General features: G+C 45.5%; 1 protein-coding gene across 1 annotated transcript in view, besides 1 other annotated feature; it reads left to right on the top strand.

Annotated features, from left to right (window-relative positions):
• Positions 20,913-21,412: an enhancer, noted in NCBI's record as "H3K4me1 hESC enhancer chrX:24045883-24046382 (GRCh37/hg19 assembly coordinates)". NCBI's record gives its function as "activates a minimal SCP1, AML or CMV promoter by ChIP-STARR-seq in naive H9 embryonic stem cells {active_cell/tissue: H9 hESC(naive)}" and the evidence as "EXISTENCE:reporter gene assay evidence [ECO:0000049][PMID:30033119]".
• Positions 21,992-22,309, top strand: part of KLHL15 (kelch like family member 15) — a 43,467-nt gene continuing 43,149 nt past the window's right edge. The window contains exon 1 of the mRNA NM_030624.3: positions 21,992-22,038. The gene's annotated coding sequence lies outside the window, so the exon portion shown is untranslated. The remainder of the gene's footprint in view (positions 22,039-22,309) is intronic.

The raw sequence follows: 22,309 nt of genomic DNA, 5'->3' as shown, positions 1-22,309 counted from the left end.
AGGCCCAGGCGGGCGGATCACCTGAGGTTGGGAGTTCCAGGCCAGCCTGACCGACATGGAGAAATCCCCTCTCTACTAAAAATACAAAATTAGCCAGGTGTGGTGGCACATGCCTGTAATCCCAGCTACTTGGGAAGCTGAGGCAGGAGAATCACTTGAACCCGGGAGGCGGAGGTTGCCATGAGCAAAGATCCCGCCATTGCACTCTAGCCTGGGCAACAAGAGCGAAACTCAAAGAAAAAAAAAGCATCCAAAGTTCGCTGTATTTTTTTTAAAGAAGCAGATCCAAGAAAACCCCGATGGGCGGGCGCGGTGGTTCACGCCTGTCATCCCAGCACTTTGGGAGGCCGAGGCGGGAGGATCCATTGAGCCTAGGAATTCAAGATCAGAAACATTTATTGGAAGTAGAAACGTCACAGGAAATAAAACATTAATAAAAATAATATAGTTAACAATTACTGGCGCCAGCCGAGCAAGTATTAACATTAATTCTCACAAAATCCATTGAGGTAGATACTGTTATTCCCATTTTACAGGTGAGAAAACAGTCCTAGAAAGATTGAATAACGGCTAGGCACAGTGGCTCATGCCTGTATTCCCAGCACTTTGGGAGGCCGAGGAGGGCGGATCACCTGAGATCAGGAGTTCGATAACAGCCTGGCCAAGATGGTGAAACCCCGTTTCTACTAAAAAATACCAAAAAAAAAAAAAAAATTAGCCAGGCATGGTGGTAGGTGCCCGTAATCCCAGCTACTCAGGAGGCTGAGGCGGAGAATCGCTTGAACCCAGGAAGCAGGCAGAGGTTGCAGTGAGCCAGGATCCCACCACTGCACTCTGACCTGGGTGACAAAGTGAGACTCTGTCTCAAAGGAAAAAAATAAAAATAAAAGAAAGATTGAATAACATGCCCAAGATTCTACAGCTAGTAAGCAGCAGACCTGGGATTCATAATCAAGTATGAGTATACTCTTAAAAAAAAAATAGCCGGGCACGGTGGCTCACGCCTGTAATCCCAGCACTTTGGGAGGCCAAGGCGGGTGGATCACGAGGTCAGGAGATCGAGACCATCCTGGCTAACGCAATGAAACCCCATCTCTACTAAAAATACAAAAAATTAGCCAGGCGTGGTGACACACGCCTGTAGTCCCAGCTACTCGGGAGGCTGAGGCAGGAGAATGGCGTGAACCTGGGAGGTGGAGCTTGCAGTGAGCCGAGATCGCACAACTACACTCCAGCCTGGGCAGCAGAGCGAGACTCCATCTCAAAAATAAATAAATAAATAAATAAAAAATAAAGCTTTTTGAGATTAAATTTACATATTACAAAATTCACCAATTTTAGGCTGGGCGCGGTGGCTCACTCATGTAATCCCAGCACTTTGGGAGGCTGAGGAGGGTGGATCATCTGAGGTCAAGAGTTTGAGACCAGCCTGACCAACATGTTGAGACCCCTTTTCTACTAAAACACTAAAGAAATTATCCGGGCGTGAGGCGCCCGCCTGTAATCCCAGCTACTCGGGAGGTTGAGGCAGGAGAATTGCTTGAACCCAGGAGGCTGAGGTTGCAGTGAGCCGAGATCGAGCTGTTGCACTCCAGCCTGGGCAACAGAGCGAGACTCCGTCTCAAAAAAAAAAAAAAAACCAGTGGGGTGGCTCAGGCCTGTAATCCCAACACTTTGGGAGGCCCAGGCGGGCGGATCACCTGAGGTTGGGAGTTCCAGGCCAGCCTGACCGACATGGAGAAATCCCCTCTCTACTAAAAATACAAAATTAGCCAGGTGTGGTGGCACATGCCTGTAATCCCAGCTACTTGGGAAGCTGAGGCAGGAGAATCACTTGAACCCGGGAGGCGGAGGTTGCCATGAGCAAAGATCCCGCCATTGCACTCTAGCCTGGGCAACAAGAGCGAAACTCAAAGAAAAAAAAAAGCATCCAAAGTTCGCTGTATTTTTTTTAAAGAAGCAGATCCAAGAAAACCCCGATGGGCAGGCGTGGTGGTTCACGCCTGTAATCCCAGCACTTTGGGAGGCGGAGGCGGGCGGATCACGAGGTCAGGAGATCGAGACCGTCGTGGCTAACACGGTGAAACCCCGTCGCTACTAAAAAATACCAAAAATTAGCCGAGCGTGATGGCGGGTGCCTGTAGTCCCAGCTACTCAGGAGGCTGAGGCAGGAGAATGGCGTGAACCTGGGCGGCGGAGCTTGGAGTGAGCCGAGATCGCACCACTGCACTCCAGCCTGGGCAACAGAGTGAGACTCCGTCTCAAAAAAAAAAAAAACAACAAAAACCAAACCAAACCAAACCAAAATAAAACAAAACAAAATTACTGATCAATCGGTATTTTCAAATTTTTGAGACATTCTTAAACCACTTTTCGTTATGTTAAGAAGCAGTTGAGGCCAGGCTAGGTGACTCACGCATGTAATCGCAGCATTTTGGGAGGCCGAGGCGGGTAGATCACGAGGTCAGGAGTTAAAGACCAGCATGGCCAAGATGGTGAAACCCAGTCTCTGCTAAAAATACACAAATTAGCTGGGCTTGGTGGCCAGCGCCTGTAATCCCAGCTACTCGGGAGGCTGAGGCAGAGGACTGTTTGAACCCGGGAGGGGGAGGTTGCAGTGAGCCAAGATCGCGCCACTGCACTCCAGCCTGGGCGACAGAGCTAGACTCTGTATGAATATATATATGTGTGTATATACATATATGTGTATATATGTGTGTATATACATATATGTGTATATATGTGTGTATATACATATATGTGTATATATGTGTGTGTATACATATGTGTGTATATGTGTGTGTGTACATATGTATGTATGTGTGTGTATACATATGTATGTATATGTGTGTGTATACATATGTGTGTATATGTGTGTGTATACATATGTGTGTATATGTGTGTATACATATGTGTGTATATGTGTGTGTATACATATGTGTGTATATGTGTGTATATACATATGTGTGTATATGTGTGTATATACATATGTGTGTATGTGTGTGTATATACATATATATGTATGTGTGTGTATATACATATATGTATATGTGTGTATATACATATGTGTATATGTGTGTATATACATATATGTGTATATGTGTGTATATACATATATGTGTATATGTGTGTATATACATATATGTGTATGTGTGTATATACATATATGTGTATATGTGTGTATATACATATATGTGTATGTGTGTATATACATATATGTGTATATGTGTGTATATACATATATGTGTATATGTGTGCATTTCCATATTTATGTGTATATGTGTGTATATACATATATATGTATATGTGTGTATATACATATATGTATATGTGTGTGTGTGTATATATATATATATAAAAGCCAGCTTTATTGAGATTAAATTTACATACTATAAAATTCACCAATTTTAGGCTGGACGCAGTGGCTTACGCCTGTAATCCCAACACTTTAGGAGGCCCAGGCGGGCGGATCACCTATGGTTGGGAGTTTGAGACCAGCCTGACCAACTTCGAGAAACCCCATCTCTACTTAAAATACAAAATTAGCTGGGCGTGGTGGCACATACCTGCAATCCCAGCTACTCCAGAGGCTGAGGCAGGAGAATCACTTGAACCCAGGAGGCGGAGGTTGCCGCGAGCCGAGATCCCGCCATTGCACTCCAGCCTGGGCAACAAGAGCGAAATTCCGTCTCAAAAAAAAAAAAAGCGTCCGAAGTTCGCTGTATTTTTTTTAAAAAAAGCAGATCCAAGAAAACCCCGATTACTGATCAATCGGTATTTTCAAATTTAAAGATTTTTGAGACATTCTTAAACTACTTTTCGTCGTGTTAAGAAGTTGAGGCTGGGCTCGGTGACTCACGCTTGTAATCGCAGCACTTTGGGAGGCCAAGGCGGGTGGATCACGAGGTCAGGAGTTAAAGACCAGCCTGGCCAAAATGGTGAAACCCTGTCTCTACTAAAAATACAAAAATTAGCCAGGCGTGGTGGCGGGCACCTGTAATCCCAGCTACTTGGGAGGCTGGGGCAGAGAATTCCTTGAACCCGGGAGGCGGAGCTTGCACTGAACCAAGATTACGCCACTGCACTCCAGCCTGGGCGAGAGAGCAAGACTCCGTATCAAAAAAATAAAAAAATAAAAAATATAATTAAGTAAAATAAAAACAGCTTTATTGATATTAAATTTACATACTATAAAATTCACCAATTTTAGGCCGGACGCGGTGGCTCACGCCTGTAATCACAACACTTTGGGAGGCCCAGGCGGGTGGATCACCTAAGGTTGGGAGTTTGAGACCAGCCTGACCAACATGGAGAAACCCCATCTCTACTAAAAATTCAAAATTAGCTGGGCGTGGTGGCACATACCTGCAATCCCAGCTACTCCAGAGGCTGAGGCAGGAGAATCACTTGAACCAGGGAGGCGGAGGTTGCTGTGAGCCGAGATCCCACTATTGCACTCCAGCCTGGGCAACAAGAGCAAACCTCCATCTCAAAAAAAAAAAAAGGGTCCGAATTTCCCTGTATTTTTTTTTTAAAGACGCAGACCCAAGAAAACCCCGATTACTGATCAATTGGTATTTTCAAATTTAAAGATTTTTGAGACATTCTTAAACCACTTTTCATTGTGTTAAAAAGCAGTTGAGACCGGGCTTGGTGACTCACGCCTGTAATCGCAGCACTTTGGGAGGCTGAGGCGGGTGGATCACGAGGTCAGGAGTTAAAGACCAGCCTGGCCAAGACGGTGAAATCCCGTCTCTACTAAAAATACAAAAATTAGCCAGGCGTGGTGGCGAGCGCCTATAATCCCAGCTACTCGGGAGGCTGAAGCAGGAGAATTGCTTGAACCCGGGAGGCGGCGGTTGCAGTGAGCCGAGATCGCACCACTGCACTCCAGCCTGGGCGACAGAGTGAGACTCCGTCTCAAAAAAAAAAAAAGCAGTTGAGTGATTTTTGTTTGTTTGTTTGTCGCCATGCACTTCTGTACAAATTTTATCATAAAGTGCTATTTCTTTTGTTTGCGATAAATTTATTTCCATAAACACTTATTAGACAACTATTATGCAAAAGTATAGTAAGAAGTGAAAGGATAATATGAAAGCCACAATGACAAATACTGAGAAGCCAAGCTCACTCACTCATAAGTACTCATCAAGGTTGATTATTTAGGAAATAAATATTATAAATGAAAAAACGAGGAAAATTAGGGAAAGTGAGGCACAATATGAGAAGTGAAGAAAGGAATTCATTAAGGTGATAATTGCTACCTCTCTTTTTTTTCCCCCGACTTTTAAGTTCAGGGGTGCATGCGCAGGATATGCAGGTTTGTTACATAGGTAAACTGTGTGCCATGGTGGTTTGCTGCGCAGATCATCCCATCACCTAGGTATTAAGCCCAGCATCCATTAGCTGTTCTTCCTGATGCTCTCTCTCCTCCCACCCCCAGCCGTCAGACAGCCCCCAGTGTGTGTTGTTCCCCCGCATGTGTCCATGTGTTCTCACCACTCAGCTCCCACTTATAAGTGGTAACATGCGGTATTTGGTTTTCTGCTCCTGCGTTACTTTGCTGAGAATAATGGCTTTCGGCTCCATCCATGTCCCTGCAAAGGATATGATGTTGTTCCTTTTTATGGCTGCATGGTATTCCATGGTGTGTATGTACCACATTTTGTTTATCCAGTCTATCATTGATGAGCATTTGGGTTGATTCCACGTCTTTGCTATTGTGAATAGTGCTGCAGTGAGCATATGTGTGCATGTATCTTTATAACAGAATGGTTTATATTTTAGAGGCTATATACCCAGTAATGAGATTGCTTGATCTAATGGTATTTCGGCCTCTAGGGCTTTGAGGAATTGCCACTCTGTCTTCCACAATGGTTGAACTAATTTACACCCCCACGAATGGTGTAAGAGCGTTCCTTTTTCTCCACAACCTCGCCAGCATCTGTTGTTTTTTGACTTTTTCTTTTCTTTTTTTTTTTTGTGACTGAGTCTCGCTCTGTCACCAGGCTGGAGTGCGGTGGCGCCATCTCAGCTCACTGCAACCTCCACCTCCCGGGTTCAAGTGATTCTCCTGCCTCAGCCTCCCAAGTAGCTGGGACAACAGGCACGGGCCACCACGCCCAGCTAATTTTTGTATTTTTAGTAGAGACAGGGTTTCACCATGTTGGCCAGGATGGTCTCCATCTCTTGACCTCGTGATCCGCCCGCCTTGGCCTCCCAAAGTGCTGCGATTATAGGCATAAGCCACCACTCTCAGCTGTTTTTTGACTTTTTAATAATCACCATTCCGACTGGTGTGAGGTGGTATCTCACTGTGGTTTTGATTTGCATTTCTCAAATGATCAGTGATGTTCAGCTTTTTTCCATATGTTTGTTGGCCGCATGTATGTCTTCTTTTGAGAAGTGTCTGTTCATGTTCTGTGCCCACTTTTTAATGGGGTTGTTTGTTTTTTATAAACAGCTATTTCACACCAGAAAAAAAATATAAGGAGAGGTGAATAAATAAGAATTTATGTTGTCTGGGCCGGGTACAGTGGCTCACGCTGTAATCCCAGCAGTTTGGGAGGCCGAGGCTGGCTGATCACTTGAGGTCAGGAGTTTGAGACCAGGCTGGCCAACATGGCAAAATCCCGTCTCTACTAAAAAATACAAAAATTACCTGGGCGTGGTGGCACGTGCCTGTAATCCCAGCTACTCGGGAGGCTGAAGCAGGAGAATCACTTGAACCTGGGAGGCAGAGGTTGCAGTGAGCTGAGATTGTACCACTGCACTCCAGCCTGGGGAACAGAGTGAGACTCCGTCTCAAAAAAAAAAAAAAAGAATTTAGGTTATCTGTGTGTTCATTGAATACTTAAGTAAAATTTAAATGAACATGTGCTTTATATCACGTAAATTTTAGGTACAACAATTTACCTAAAATAGGAAGTTATGTTTCAGTAAATGCATGCATTAGTTAAGTGATGGTGAAAATTGGAGGTATTCCCTGGAATCTTACATTCTTTTTTTTTTTTTTTTTTTTTTTGAGACAGAGTCCTGCTGTGTTGCCCAGGCTGGAGTGCAGTGGCACAATCTCAGCTCACTGCAACCTCTGCCTCCTTGGTTCAAGCAATTCACTTGCCTCAGCCTCCCAAGTAGCTGGGATTACAGATGTGTGCCACCAGGCCCAGCTAATTTTTTTTTTTTATTTTTAGTAGAGACAAGGTTTCACCTTGTTGGCCAGGCTGGTCTCGAACTCCTGACCTCAAGTGATCTGCCTGCCTCAGCCTCGCAAAATGCTGAGATTATAGGCGTGTACCACCGTGCCTGGCCTTAATCTTACATTCTTTTTTTTTTTTTTTTTTTTTTTTTTCTTGAAAGGGAGTCTTGCTTTGTCCCCCAGGCTGGAGTGCAATGGTGCCATCTCGGCTCACTGCAACCTCCGCCTCCAGGGTTCAAGCGATTCTCCTATCTCAGCCTCCCAGGTAGCTGGGACTACAGGCGCGTGCCACCACGCCCGGGTAAATTTTTGTATTTTTAGTAGAGATGGGGTTTCACTGTATTAGCCAGGATGGTCTCGATCTCCTGACCTCGTGATCTGCCTGCCTCGGCCTCCCAAAGTGCTGGGATTACAGGCATGAGCTACCGCGCCCGGCCCCATTCTAAATATACCAGCCAATTACAAAAACCTATTGAGGTGATTAAAATGCTGGGGAATTATATAGTGGCAATGATTGCACATCTTTGTAAATATGCTAAAAACCAGCGAATTGTACAGTTTAACCGGGTGAATCTTAGGACATGTGAATTTTATCTATATATAAAAAAATCTGGCAACACCACGCCAGTGCACTCCAGGCTGGGTGACAGAGTGAGACCCTGTCTCAGAGAGAAAAAAAAAAATCTAGGCCAGGCGTGGTGGCTCATGACTGTAATCCTAGCAATTTGGGAAGCCAAAGCTGGAAGATCGCTTGAGCCCAGGTGTTCCAGACCAGCCTGTGCAACATAGGGAGACCGCCATCTCTACAAAAAATACAAAGATCAGCTGGGCACAGTGGCTCACGCCTGTAGTTCCAGCTACTAGGGAGACTGAGGTGGAAGGATCGCTTGAGCCCAGGTGGTTGAGGCTGCAGTGAGCCATAATCAAGCCACTGCACTCCAGCCTGGGCAACAGAGGAGACCCTGTCTCAAAAATAAAAATGAATAATAAATCATAAAATCCAGCCGGGTGCGGTGGCTCACGCCTGTAATCCTAGCACTTTGGGAGGCTGAGGCAGGCGGATTGCCTGAGCTCAGGAGTTCGAGACGAGCCTGGGCAACACGGTGAAACCCCATCTCTACTAAAATACAAAAGAAATCAGCCGGGCGTGGCGGTGTGCGCCTGTAGTCCCAGCTACTCGGGAGGATAAGGCAGGAGAATTGCTTGAACCCGGGAGGCAGAGGTTGCAGTGAGCCGAGATCGCGCCACTGCACTCCAGCCTGGGGGAGAGAGCGAGACTCCGTCTCTACAAAAATAATAATAATAATAATAATAATAAAATCCATTGTCAATAGGCAGAATAATAATATGCTTCATTGTCAGAAACATTTATTGGAAGTAGAAAAGTCATAGGAAATAAAATGTTTATTAATTTAAAAAATGGTTAACAATTATTGGCACCACCCGAACAAGTATTAACTTTATTTAATTCTCACAAAATCCAATGAGGTAGATCCTGTTATTCCCATTTTACAGGTGAGAAAGCAGTCCTAGAAAGGTTGAATAACATGCCCAAGATTCTACAGCTAGTAAGTAGCAGAGGTGGGATTCATAGTCAAGTATGAGTATACTTTTTTTTTAAAAGCTTTATTTATATTAAATTTACATACTATAAAATGCACCAATTTTAGGCCAGGCGGAGTGGCTCACGCCTGTAATCCCAGCACTCTGGGAGGCCGAGGTGAGTGGATCACTTAAGGTCAGGAGTTGGAGACTAGCCTGGCCAACATGGTGAAACCTTGTCTCTATTAAAAATACAAAAATTATCCAGGCAAAGTGGCGCGGGAGTGTAATCCCAGCTACTTGGGAGGCTGAGGCAGGAGAATCGCTTGAACCTGGGAAGTGGAGGTTGTCGTGAGCTGAGATCGCGCCACTGCACTCCAGCCTGGGCAACAGAGTGAGACTGAGTCTCAAAACATAAATAAAATAAAATTCACCAATTTTGAATACACAATTCCATGATTTTTAGTGAGTTTACAGAGTTGTGCAACCATCGCAACAATCCAGATTTGGAACACTTCCATCACCCCAAATAAATCCTTTGCATCTATGTTCATTCAATCCCTGTTCCCATCTCCAGTCCCAGGCAATTACTAATGGACTTTCTTTCTCTAAAGATTTGCCTTTTCTAGACATTTCGTTTAAATGGAATCATATAATATGTGGTCTTTTGTGTCTGACTTATTTCATTTAGCATAATGATTTCGAGGTTCATCCATGTTATAGCATGTATGAACATGATGTTGAATAAAATTTCATATCACATTTTATTGATCCATCACGAGTTGAATAGATATTTGGATTGTTTTCACTTTTTGGCTATTGTGAATAATTCTGCGAATGAAAATTTGTGTACAAGTTTTTATGACAACATATTGTCATTTCTCTTGGTAAATACCTAGTTGTACAATTGCTGAGTCCTATGGTAAATCTAGGTTTAATAGTTTGAGAAACAGGCCGGGAGCGATGGCTCACCCGTGTAATCCCAGCACTTTGGGAGGCCGAGGCAGGTGGATCACCGGAGGTCAGGAGTTCAAGACCAGCCTGGCCAACATGGTGAAACCCTGTCTCTACTAAAAATGCAAAAATTAGCCAGGTGTGGTGGTGGGCGTCTGTAGTCCCAGCTACTCGGGAGGCTGAGGCGGAAGAATTGCTTGAACCCTGGAGGTGGAGGTTGCAGTGAGACAAGATTGCACCATTGCACTCCTGCCTAGGAGACAGAGTGAGACTCCCTCTCAAAAAAAAAAAAAAAAAAGTTTGAGAAACATTTCAGTTGTTTCCCAAAATGGCTGTATCGTTTTACATTCCCACCAGCAGTATATGAAGAAGGCTCCAGTTTCTCCACATCCTCATCCACCCTTGTTTTTTGTTTCGTTTTGTTTTTCAGACAGAGTCTTGCTCTGTTGCCCAGGCTGGAGTGCAATGGTGCAATCTCAGCATACTCCAACCTCCATCTCCCGGGTTCAAGTGATTCTCCTGCCTCCCGAGTAGCTGGGATTACAGGTGTGCACCACCATTCCCGGCTAATTTTTTTTTTTTGTATTTTTAGTACAGACTTGGTTTCACTATGTGGGCCGGGTTGGTCTCGAACTCCTGACTTCAGTTGATCTGCCTGCTTCGGCCTCCCAAAGTGTTGGGATTACAGGCGTGAGTCACTGCGCCTGGCCCCTCACCAACATTTGTAATTGTCTCTTTGTTTACTATAGTCGTTCTAGTGGCTATGGTTTTTTTTCTTTATTATTATTATTATTATTATTTTTTGAGATGGAGTCTTCGTTCTTTCGCCCACGCTGGAGTGCAGTGGCACGATCTCAGCTCACTGCAAGCTCTGCCTCCCGGGTTCACACCATTCTCCTGCCTCAGCCTCCCGAGTACCTGGGAATACAGGCAGGCGCCCGCCACCATGCCCAGCTAATCTTTTGTATTTTTTAGTGGAGACGGGGTTTCACCATGTTAGCCAGGATGGTCTCGATCTCCTGACCTTGTGATCCACCCGCCTTGGACTCCCAAAGTGCTGGGATTACAGGCGTGAGCCACCGCGCCCGGCTTTTTTTCTTTTTTAAAGGAAAGATGGGGTCTTGCGGTGTTGCCCTGGCTGGTCTCAAAATCCTGGCCTCAAGCAATCCTCCTGCCTTGGCCTCCCACAGTGCTGATATTATAGGCATGAGCCACCATGCCAGTTCGGTGTGGTTTCAATTTGCATTTCTTTAATGACTAATGGATGTTCAGCATCTTTTCATATACTCATTAAGCCATTCATATCTCTTCTTTGGTAAAATGGCTATTCAAATATTTTGCCTACTTTTATTTTTATTTATTTTCTTTTTAGAGAAAGGGCCTTGCTCTGTCATCCAGGCTGGAATGCAGCAATCATAGTTCACTGCAGCCTTGAACCCTTGGGCTCAAATGATCCTCCTACTTCAGCCTCACAAGTAGCTGGGAGTACAGAGGCATGCCACCATGCCCAGGCAATTTTGGATTTTTTTTTTAGAGATGGGATCTTGCTGTATTGCCCAAGCTAGTGCCCTTTTTTTTCTTTCTTTCTTTCTTTTTTTTTCGTTTTTTGGAGACAGAGTTTCGCTCTGTCACCCAGGCTGGAGTGCAGTGGCATAATCATGGCTCACTGCAGCCTCAACCTCCTAGGCTTAAGTGATCCTCCTACCTCAGCCTCTCAAGTAGGGATCTCAACTGGGATCACAGTCGTGTGCCGCCATGCCTGGCTAATTTTTAAATTTTTTGTAGAGACAAGGTCTCAGTATGTTGCCCAGGCTGGTCTCAAACTCCTGGGCTCAAGTGATCCACCCACCTCAGCCTCCCAAAGTGCTGGGATTACAGGTGTGAGCTACTTTACCCAGCTGGGTGCCCATTTTTTTTTTTGAAAAATTTAAATATTTTTTTGAAATAGAAACAGGGTCTCACTCTGTTGCCCGGGCTGATCCTGAACTCTGGAGCTCAAGCAGTCCTCCCACGTCGGCCTCCGAAAGTGTTGGGATTACAGGCATGAACCACCGCACCAAGCCCATTTTTAAATTGGGTTATTTATCTCCTTAATATTGGGTTGCAAGAGGTTTTTTTTTTTTAATATTCTGGATTTTTTTAAATATTCTGGATACAAGTCCTTTATCAGATATTTGATTTGTAAATGTTTTCTCTCAGTCTGTAGTTTGTCTTTTCATTTTCTTACTGGTGTCTTTGAAGAGTAAAAGTTTTTAACTTTCATGAAGTCAATTTATATATTTATTTTCTTTTTTATGGATCATGCTTTTCGTGTCATATATAAAAACACTTTCGGCCAGGCGCAGTGGTTCACACCTGTAATCCCAGCACTTCGGGAGGCTGAGGCGGGCAGATCACGACGTCAGGAGTTTGAGACCAGCCTGGCCAACATAGTGAAACCCAGTCTCTATTAAAAATACAAAAAATTAGCCAGGCATGGTGGCAGGCGCCTGTAATGCCAGCTACTCGAGAGGCTGAGGCAGGAGAACCTCTTGAACCCGGGAGGCGGAGGTTGCAGTGAGCTGAGATTGCGCCACTGCACTCCAGCCTGGACAACAGTGCCAGACTCCATCTCAAAAAAAAAAAACAAAAAAAAACACTTTGCCTAACCCAAGGTCACAAAGATTTACTTTTATATTTTCTTCTTAAAGGTTTGTAGTTTTAGCTCTTACATTTAGGTATGTGATCCATTTTGATTTAATTTTTGTGTATGGTTTGGGGTGAGTTTTGTTTTTTTGGTTTTTTTTTTTTTTGAGATGGAGCCTGGCTCTGTTGCCCAGGCTGCAGTGCAGTGGCGCGACCTCAGCTCACTGCAACCTCCACCTCCCGGGTTCAAGCGATTCTCCTACCTCAGCCTCCTGAGTAGCTGGGATTACAGACGTGCATCATCACGCCCAGCTAATTTTTGTATTTTTTTTAGTAGAGACAGGGTTTCACCATGTTGGCCAGGCTGGTCTGGAACTCCCGACCTCAGGTGATCCGCCCACTTTGGCCTTCCAAAGTGCCGGGATTACAGGTGTGAGCCACTGTACCCGGCCGAGGTGAAGGTTTAAGTCCATCTTTCTTTTTGCCTGTGGATATCCAGTTGTCCCAGCACTATTTGTTGAAAAGACTACCCTTTCCCTATTGAACTGTTTTAGCACCTTTGTCAAAAATAAATGGACCATTAAAAAAAGAGTTTAGTGGCCGGGCGCGGTGGCTCACGCCTGTAATCCCAGCACTTTGGGAGGCCGAGGCGGGCGGATCACGAGGTCAGGAGATCGAGACCAGCCTGGCTAACACGGTGAAACCCTGTCTGTACTAAAAATACAAAAAAATTAGCCAGGCGTGGTGGCGGGCGCCTGTAGTCCCAGCTACTCGGGAGGCTGAGGCAGAATGGCGTGAACCCGGGAGGCGGAGCTTGCAGTGAGCCGAGATCGCGCCGCTGCACTCCGGCCTGGCGACAGAGCGAGACTCTGTCTCAAAAAAATAAATTAAAATAAAATAATAATAAAAAAAGAGTTTACTTCTCCGGGCACGGTGGCTCACGCCTGTAATCCCAACACTTTGGGAGGCTGAGGTGGGTGGATCATGAAGTCAGGAGATCGAGAGCATCCTGGCTAACACGGTGAAACCCCATCTCTACTAAAAATACAAAAAATTAGCCGGGCGTGGTGGCGGGCGCCTGTAGTCCCAGGTACTCGGGAGGCTGAGGCAGGAGAATCGTGTGAACCCGGGAGGCGGAGCTTGCAGTGAACTGAGATCGCGCCACTGCACTCCAGCCTGGGTGACAGAGCGAGACTTCGTTTATTTCTGGACTGTCAATTCTGTTCCATTGATCCATAAGTCTATCCTTATACCAGTATCACACTGTTTTGATTTTTGTAATTTTATACCACATTTTGAAATTGGGAAGTAGTCCTTTAACCATGTTCTTTTTCAAAATTATTTGGCTGTTTTTGGGGCCTTTGCATTTCCATATCTATTTTAGGATCAGCTTGTGAATTTCTATAAAAAAGCCTGCTGGAGGCAGTTGGGACAAAACTATAGAGCCCAGCGGCAGTCCTTGAATGACCAGGCCAGTGTTGCCCCTGGTGTCACTGAGTGGTCCCCTGCTGGTTTGTTGGGAGTGAAGGGAATCCAGGCTGGCAGAGCTGGAGCCAGTTGGGGAGCAGGGTTCTGGGAGCTCTGCAACATCAGTAGCAAGTGCTGGGAAAGGCGCATGCTGGAGACACTCAGAGCTCTGAAGACTTGCTTGAGGCTAGCCCAGTGAAGAAAAACCCAGAGATTCATGTTTCAGAGCTCCCAAGACTTGCTTGAGGCTAGCCCAGTGAAGAAAAACCCAGAGACTCATGTTTCCAGAGGTCAGTCTGTCAGGCAGGAAGGACCCAGGGTTTGAACCCAGCTTCAGTCTGCAGGCTCTGAGGCTGCCCAGGCCGGGAAAGTCCAAGGAAGGGGCCTGGTGGTGCTCCACTTCCAGTTCTTTAAAGAATGCTGCTTTTTATTCTCTTAACCCCTTCAAGTGTGTGCAGACTTCTCATTAGCAGCTGGAAGACATTCCTCCCACACTTTACCCTTCCTGGCCCAAGAGAGCATCCAGAAGGCAGTAGGACCTGGTTTTTCAGGTACTGGGAACAAGGGGCTCACTGCTTGGACTCCGCTTAGAGTAGGGACGGTAAATATCCTGCCTGCATGGCTTTACCCTCCCTCTAATCCCAAAGCAGGTATGTTCTGGTTGTCACAGAGTTTCATTGAGCCCAGCTGCAGCCACGTGGCCATCTGGAGCTGGTGCTGTAGGTGACCATCTGGTACATTGAGGGGACCGGTTTGCCTCCTCCACTCTATAAGCTGTCATCTTGGGAGACAGGGAAGAGAAGGTGGTGGGCCAGTCCTGTGTCCTCCTCCACTTCCCATGCCCCTACGTTACCCATCTGTGTCTCCTCTGCAAAAGGAGAGGAAGAGGCATTAAGGGATGAAGGGTGATTATGTATTACTTATCCATTTCTGAATAAACATTTGTTATTCCAAAAAAAAAGAGAAAAAAGCCTGCTGGATTTTCTTTTATTGTGGTAAAAATTTACCATCATAACCATTTTTAATTGTATGTAGTGTTAGGTTTTTTTTTTTTGTTTGTTTTTTTGTTTTTTTTTTTTTTTTGACGGAGTCTGGCTCTGTCATCCAGGCTGGAGTGCAGTGGCATGATCTCACTGCAACCTCTGCTTCCCAGGTTCAAGTGATTCTCCTGCCTCAGCCTCCCGAGTAGCTGGGATTACAGGCATCTGGCACCATGCCCAGCTAATTTTTGTATTTTTAGTAGAGATAGGGTTTCACTGTGTTGACCAGGCTGGTGTCAAACTCCTGACCTCGTGATCCGCCTGCCTCAGCCTCCCAAAGTGCTGGGATTACAAGCGTGAGCCATGGCGCCCGGCCAGTAGTGTTAGTTATACGTGCATTGTTGTGCAACCGATCTCTAGAACCTTTTCATCTTGCAAAACTGAAACCCTGTACCCATTTAATTTTTAAGACAGGGTCACGCTATGTTCCCCCGAGGCTGGCCTTGAACTCCAGGGTTTAAGGGATCCTCCCGCCTTAGCCTTCTGAGTAGCTGGGACTACAGGCATGTGCCATCACACCAAATTAAGTTTTACCCTGCTCTCCTGCTGGTTTTTTTTTTTTTTTTTTGAGACGGAGTCTCGCTCTGTCGCCCAGGCTGGAGTGCAGTGGTGCGATCTCGGCTCACTGCAAGCTCCGCCTCCCGGGTTCACGCCATTCTCCTGCCTCAGCCTCCCTAGTAGCTGGGACTACAGGCACCAGCCACCACGCCCGGCTAATTTTTTGTATTTTTAGTAGAGACGGAGTTTCACCGTGTTAGCCAGATGTTCCTGATCTCCTGACCTCGTGATCCGCCCGCCTCGGCCTCCCAAAGTGTTGGGATTACAGGCGTGAGCCACCGTGCCCGGCCATCCTGCCCGGCCATCCTGCTGGATTTTTAATAGGAATTGTTTTGAGTCTGTAGATCAATTGGGAAGAACCATCATCTTGACAATATTGACATCTCTGGCCGGGCGCGGTGGCTCACTTCTGTAATCCTAGCACTTTGGGAGGCCCGAGGCGGGTGGATCACGAGGTCAGGAGATAGAGACCATCCTGGCTAACACGGTGAAACCCCGTCTCTACTAAAAATACAAAAAAAAAAAAAAATTAGTCGGGCGCGGTGGCGGGCACCTGTAGTCCCAGCCAGCTACTCGGGAGGCTGAGGCAGGAGAATGGTGTGAACCCGGGAGGCGGAGCTTGCAGTGAGCTGAGATCGCGCCATTGCACTCCAGCCTGGGAAACAGAGACTCGGTCTCAAAAAAAAAAAAAAACCTCCAATCCCAGAGGACTATCCTGCCTCACCTACGCTTAACATTCTCACCTCCCTCACCAAGACAGTGCTGCCTCTTCTTCCAAGTCCCTAAGACAGCATGAAATTCACCCCTCCTTTTGTCCAGGCCTATGCCCAGACATCTATGTGTGAAACTATACCCCTGCTTTCTCTTCCACTACCCACACACAAAGCTGAGGAGGCCAGAATTGACTTACCTAAAGTCCCTCTCTGCCCTGTATCTAGAAAGAAATTCTGTCTTAGAGATAGTTTTGTGATCACTAGGTTATTTATTTGTTTTGTTTTGTTTTGTTTTTTGAGACCGAGTCTCACTCTGTCACCTAGGCTGGAGTACAGTGGTGCAATCACGGCTCACTGCAGCCTTGACCTCCCGGGCTCAAGCAATCCTCCCACTTCAGCCTCCTGGGTAGCTGGAACCACAAGTTCACAGCACCACGCTCGGCTAATTTTTGTATTTCTTGTAGAGATGGGGTCTCCCCATGTTGCCAGGCTTGTCTCAAACTCCTAGGCTCAAGCCATTCGCCCCCCTCGGCCTCCCAAAGTGCTAGGATTACAAGTGTGAGCCACTGCACCCAGCCTGTTTTTTAGTTTTTTTAATTTTAATTTAAATTTTTTTTGAGACGGAGTCTTGCTCTGTCGCCCAGGCTGGAGTGCAATGGTGTGATCTCGATTCACCGCAACCTCCGCTTCCTGGGTTCAAGCAATTCTCCTGCCTCAGCCTCCCGAGTAGCTGGGATTACAGGTGCCTGCCACCACGCCTGGCCAATTTTTTTGTAATTTTAGTAGAAACGGGGTTTCACCATGTTCGCCAGGCTAGTCTTGAACTCCTGACCTCAAGTGATCCGCCCGCCTCTGCCTCCCAAAGTGCTGGGATTACAAGCGTCAGCCACCGCGTTTTTTGTTTTTTGTTTTTTTTTTTAGATGGAGTGTCGCTCTGTCGCCCAGGGTGAAGTGCAATGGCATGATCTCAGCTCACTGCAACCTCTGCCTTGCGTGTTCAAGCGATTCTCCTGCCTCAGCCTCCTGAGTAGCTGGGTTTACTGGTGCCCGCCACCACACCTGGCTAATTTTTGTATTTTTAATAGAGACGGGGTTTCACCATGTTGACCAGGCTGGTCTTGAACTGCTGACCTCATGATCCGCCTGCTTCGGCCTCCCAAACTGCTGGGATTACAGGCGTCAGCCACCGCACCCGGCCATCACTGCATTTTTTAAGAACTTAGTTTTAGAATCAATAAATAACCTCAGAGCCTACATTCAATCTTGTCTCTATCCTTAACCACAGTCCCCAAACCCTGAAGTTGTGCTGCTGGCAACAGTAGTTACTGGAGGTTTTTTTTTCTTTCTTTTTCCACTTCTTTAGTCATACAACACCATGTAGCAGCTCTTTATTCCTGCTACTCACCTCAACTCTGGCACTCACACTTAGAATGTGTGCATGTTTGGGTACACATCTACTGAAATGCAGTACTTAAGAATATGTAGCTTGGGCTGGGTGCGGTGGCTCACGCCTGTAATCCCAGCAGTTTGGGAAGCCAAGGCGGGCGGATCACCTGAGGTCAGGAGTTCGAGACCAGCTTGGCCAACCTGGTGAAACCCTGTCTCTACTAAAAATGCAAAAAATAAGCCGGGCGTGGTGGTGGGTGCCTGTAATCCCAGCTACTTGGGAGGCTGAGGCAAGAGAATCGCTTGAACCCAGGAGGCGGAGGTTGCAGTGAGCCAAGACTACACCATTGCACTCCAGCCTGGGCAACAAGAGCGACACTCCATCTCAAAAAAAAAAAAAAAACAAATATGTGGCTCGTATCTTGAGGCTTCTAAGTATAGTGTTATTTTTCATTGGTTCATAAAGAACTTAAAAGTGATTAATTTTGCTGGGCACAGTGGCTCAAGCCTGTATTTTGAGCTACTCAGGAGACTGAGACAGGAGGATCCCTCGAGCTCAGGAGTTCGAAGCTGCAGTAAGCTATGATCACTATGATCGCACCATTGCACTCCAACCTGGGCTACAGAGGGATACCTCATCTCTTAAAAAAACTTTTTTTTAATGATTAATTTTGGGAAAGGGGGTATGTTACTCCTTTTAACATTTTCATTTACTAAGAGGCACTGTCTACGTTGCATTTCACAGTAAATAGATTTAGTTAAAATGGTGACATTCGTTTCATCTTTCATTGATAGTGGATGTTTAGCAATTACAGTACTTTTCTATCTGGCTTAGCATAGCACACTCTTTGTCTTACTCTTATCTCACTGGCTACTCCTTCTCTGTCTCCTTGACAGTCCTGTATCTTCTCCCGGATGACTCCCTCACATTGCTGCGCCACAAAGCCCAGTCCTCGCTGTACACTCAGCCCCTTGATAATCTCATAACTGAAGCTGAAGCATAATGTTATTTTTCATTGGTTCATAAGGAGCACAAAGATGATAACTTTCTTTTTAAGGTTTTCATCTACAAGGGGGCATTGTCTACACCATGTTTCAAGGTAAATATATTCCATTAAAATGGCAATATTCATTGCATCTTTTATTGATAGTGAATGTTTAGCAACTTCCAGTAACTTTCTCTCTAGCTTGTAGCATTCCACACTCTTGTCTGATCTCCTGGAACCAGTTCCCTCTGTTCTCCAGGATGGCTCCCTGGCCCAGGCACACCTCTGGGCCCAGTCCTTGCAGCTTTTCCTTCCTCCCCACTCCCTTCAAAACTGATCCTCCTGAGGTCTTTGCGATGTCAGGAAATGACAATTCCATCCTTCCAGTTGCTCAGGACAGAAAACCTTGATGTTATCCATGACTCCTCTCTTTTCCTTTATCCCTACCTCCAGGAAATCCTGTTGGCTCTTCCTCCAGAATATTTGCAAAGTCTAAGCACTTCTCACCATCTCCACTGTAGCCTCCATTCCATTCCATTCCATTCCATTCCATTATCGGAATAGTCTCCTAACCCATCTCCCTGCTTCTGCCCTAGTCCACCTAAATTCTGTTACTTACATAGCAGCCTGAGTGTCAAATCATATTGGTCCTCTTCACCAAAGCTTCCAGTGGTTCCCAATTTCTCACAGGCCAAAGACCTTACAATTGCCTACCAGGTTTTATACACTCTGGTCCCTAATTTCATTGAAGGCAAGGCTCAAATGATACCTCCTACTTTGATCATCCCAGTTAAAACTGGAACACCCTTCCCCAGCTCTGTTATTTTCCATAGCATTTATCACATCCCGATTTGGGGAATAGACGCCACAGAATTAGTCCAGGCTGACCACCACACAAACAACAAATCTAAAAATAGCAAACTCTACCACCACCTGGATTGGGAGTGGGTTAATACAGAGTCCAGAGTTGCTACAACATATTATCTAAAAGAAACAGGATGTACAAAGAAACAGCAAAGTGTGACCCATACTCAGGAAAATAAGGAGTCAACAGAAAACTACCTCTGAGGGTTCAGTGTTACTGTGATCAGTGCAATTATAGTTTTTTTTTGTCCTGCATTTTCACATAAGATTATATTAGAAACAATTTCATAAGTCATTAAAACTTCTATGAAAATAATATATATTTTTTTTGAGGCAGAGTCTCCCTCTTTCGCCCAGTCTCCCGGGTTCAAGCACTTCTCCTGCTTCAACCTCCCAAATAGCTGGGATTACAGGCATGTGCCACCACGCCTGGCTAATTTCTTCGTATTTTTAGTAGAGATGGGGTTTCCCGTGTTGGCCAGGCTGGTCTCGAACTCCTGACCTCAAGTAATCCACCCACCTCAGCCTCTCAAAGTGCTGGGATTACAGGCGTGAGCCACCGCACCCGGCCACATTTACCACATTCTAACAGGCCACATAATTTGCTTATTTATTTTATTACCTGACACATGTAATCCGTACAAGGGCTAGAGTTTTCATATGTTTTATTCACTGATGGATCCCCAGTGGGTAGAACAAGACTTGGCATGTACTAGGCACTTACACATACTTATGGAATGAATAAATAAATAGTATAGTAGATTGCAAACCAACAATTTGTGGAATTAAGTAGGAATAAAAATACAACTATGTGAAGATCATTTACTATGTTAATATAATTACATGGTACAGTGGAAAGATCATGGGGTGGCTGGGTGCGGTTGATCACGCCTGTAATCCCAACACTTTGGGAGGCTGAGGTGGATGGATTACTAGAGGTCAGGAGTTCGAGACCAGCCTGGCCAACATGGGAAAACCCATCTCTACTAAAGTTACAAAATTTAGCTGGGCGTGGTGGTGTGTGCCTGTAGTCCCAGCTACTTGGGAGGCTGAGGCAGGAGAATCACTTGAACCTGGGAGGCAGAGGTTGCAGTGAGCCAATCACGCCACTGCACTCCAGCCTGGATGATAGAGGGAGACTCTGTCTCAAAAAAAAGAAAAAAAAAAAAAGTAAAAAGAAAAGTGATTACCAAGACAACTACCACAGACTGGGAATTTCTGAAAAGCCTCAACTTTTCTTTTCTTTTTTTTTTTTTTGAGACAGCGTCTAGTTCCGTTGTCCAGGCTGGAGTGCAGTGGTGCAATCTCGACTCACTGCAACCTCTGCCTCCTGGGCTCAAGCCATACTCCTACCTCAGCCTCCTGAGTAGCTGGGACCGCAGGCCCGCACCACCATGCCAGCTAATTTTTTGTATTTTTAATAGAGACGGGGTTTCACTATGTTCGTCAGGCTGGTTTCCAACTCCTGACCTCTAATGATCCTTCCGCCTCGGCCTCCCAAAGTGCTGGAATTACAGGCGTGAGCCACCACGCCTGGCCTCAATTTCTTAAAAAGCAAAAACAGGAGGGAGGAGGAGGGTATGCAGTATCCTAAATCCTCAGAACCCCTGGGGAAGAACCTCATTCCAACTCCACCAGCACTCCCAGGCCCAGGCTTCTAGCATGCTTCCGACCTCGCTAGCTGCTAAATAAATAGCTATTGAGGAATGTGTATTCTCAAATACTTAGGCTAGAGGGCTAAGAAAAGACAGCTTCCATCTACCTCTGTGGGACTCTACCAGTGTGAAAGGATACTCTCAAGGTATTTAACAACTCCCATTACAGTCCAGAAATTGGTGGGGAAAGTTAAAATATATTTTCTTTTCTTTTTTTTTTTTGAGACGGTGTTTTTGCTCTGTTGCCTGAGCTGGAGTGCAGTGGCTCACGCTTGTAATCCCAGCACTTTGGGAGGCCAAGGCGGGCGATCATGAGGTCGGGGGTTTGAGACCAGCCTAGCCAACACAGTGAAACCCCGTCTCTACTAAAAATACAAAAGTTAGCTGGGCACGGTGGCGAGCGCCTGTAATCCCAGCTACTCGGGAGGCTGAGGCAGGATAATCGCTTGAACCCGGGAGGCGGAGGTTGCAGTCAGCCGAGATCCACTGCACCCCAGCCTGAGCGACAGACTCCATCTCAGAAAAAAACAAGCAAACAAAAACAAAACAAACAAACAAACAAAAACAAGAAAAGAAAAGTTAGCCGAGCATGGTGGGGCACGTCTGTGGTCCTAGCTATTCGGGAGGCTGAGGTGGAAGGATTGCTTGAGCCCGGGAGGTCAAGGCTGCAGTGAGCTGAGATCATGCCTCTGCCCTCCAGCCTGGCCGAGAGTGAGACTGTCTCAAAAAAAAAATAATAATAATAACATAAAAATAAGAAATAAGAGTGAAAGAGGCATCATTGATTGAAGATAACTTGGGGAGGGGTTCATATAGTAAACGTATAGATTGATTGAAAGACACAGCCCAGTTTTAAAACTACATAAATATCCAAAAAAGCACATTTGAAATTCCACGAGACCTTGCAATGTCAAAATAAGGAGGGACGGGAAGCACGGTGATCACACAATGGCTTATGACATACACTCACTACATTTATACCTGGTACAAAGAGCGCAGAAACGTTTCAACTCTTGCTTGAATCAAGAACAGAAGCCTCTCTTTAGACAGGTCAGTGCCACATAGTAATGTATAGCTTAAAATGTTAGTTAATGTACAAAAATCCAAACTCAGCGTTTAGATGTTCGGGAATAATGCATGAACATTTAAATATTCAGAAGTGGAATGTATGCATTTTTAAAGTTTATTTTATGATTTAATTTTAAAAATTTGTTTTAATGTGAAATTCTGGGGTAATTTGTCATGTAGTAATAGATACAAATATGGCAAGCAGGGATTTTTAAATAATGAACAGAAATATCTTAAAGGAGCTATTGGAAAA

Source organism: Homo sapiens, chromosome X, assembly GCF_000001405.40.
Source record: "Homo sapiens chromosome X, GRCh38.p14 Primary Assembly".
NCBI classification, from domain to species: domain Eukaryota; kingdom Metazoa; phylum Chordata; class Mammalia; order Primates; family Hominidae; genus Homo; species Homo sapiens.
The sequence above is the reverse complement of the archived record's forward strand: the minus strand, read 5'-3'. Positions and strand labels throughout refer to the sequence as shown.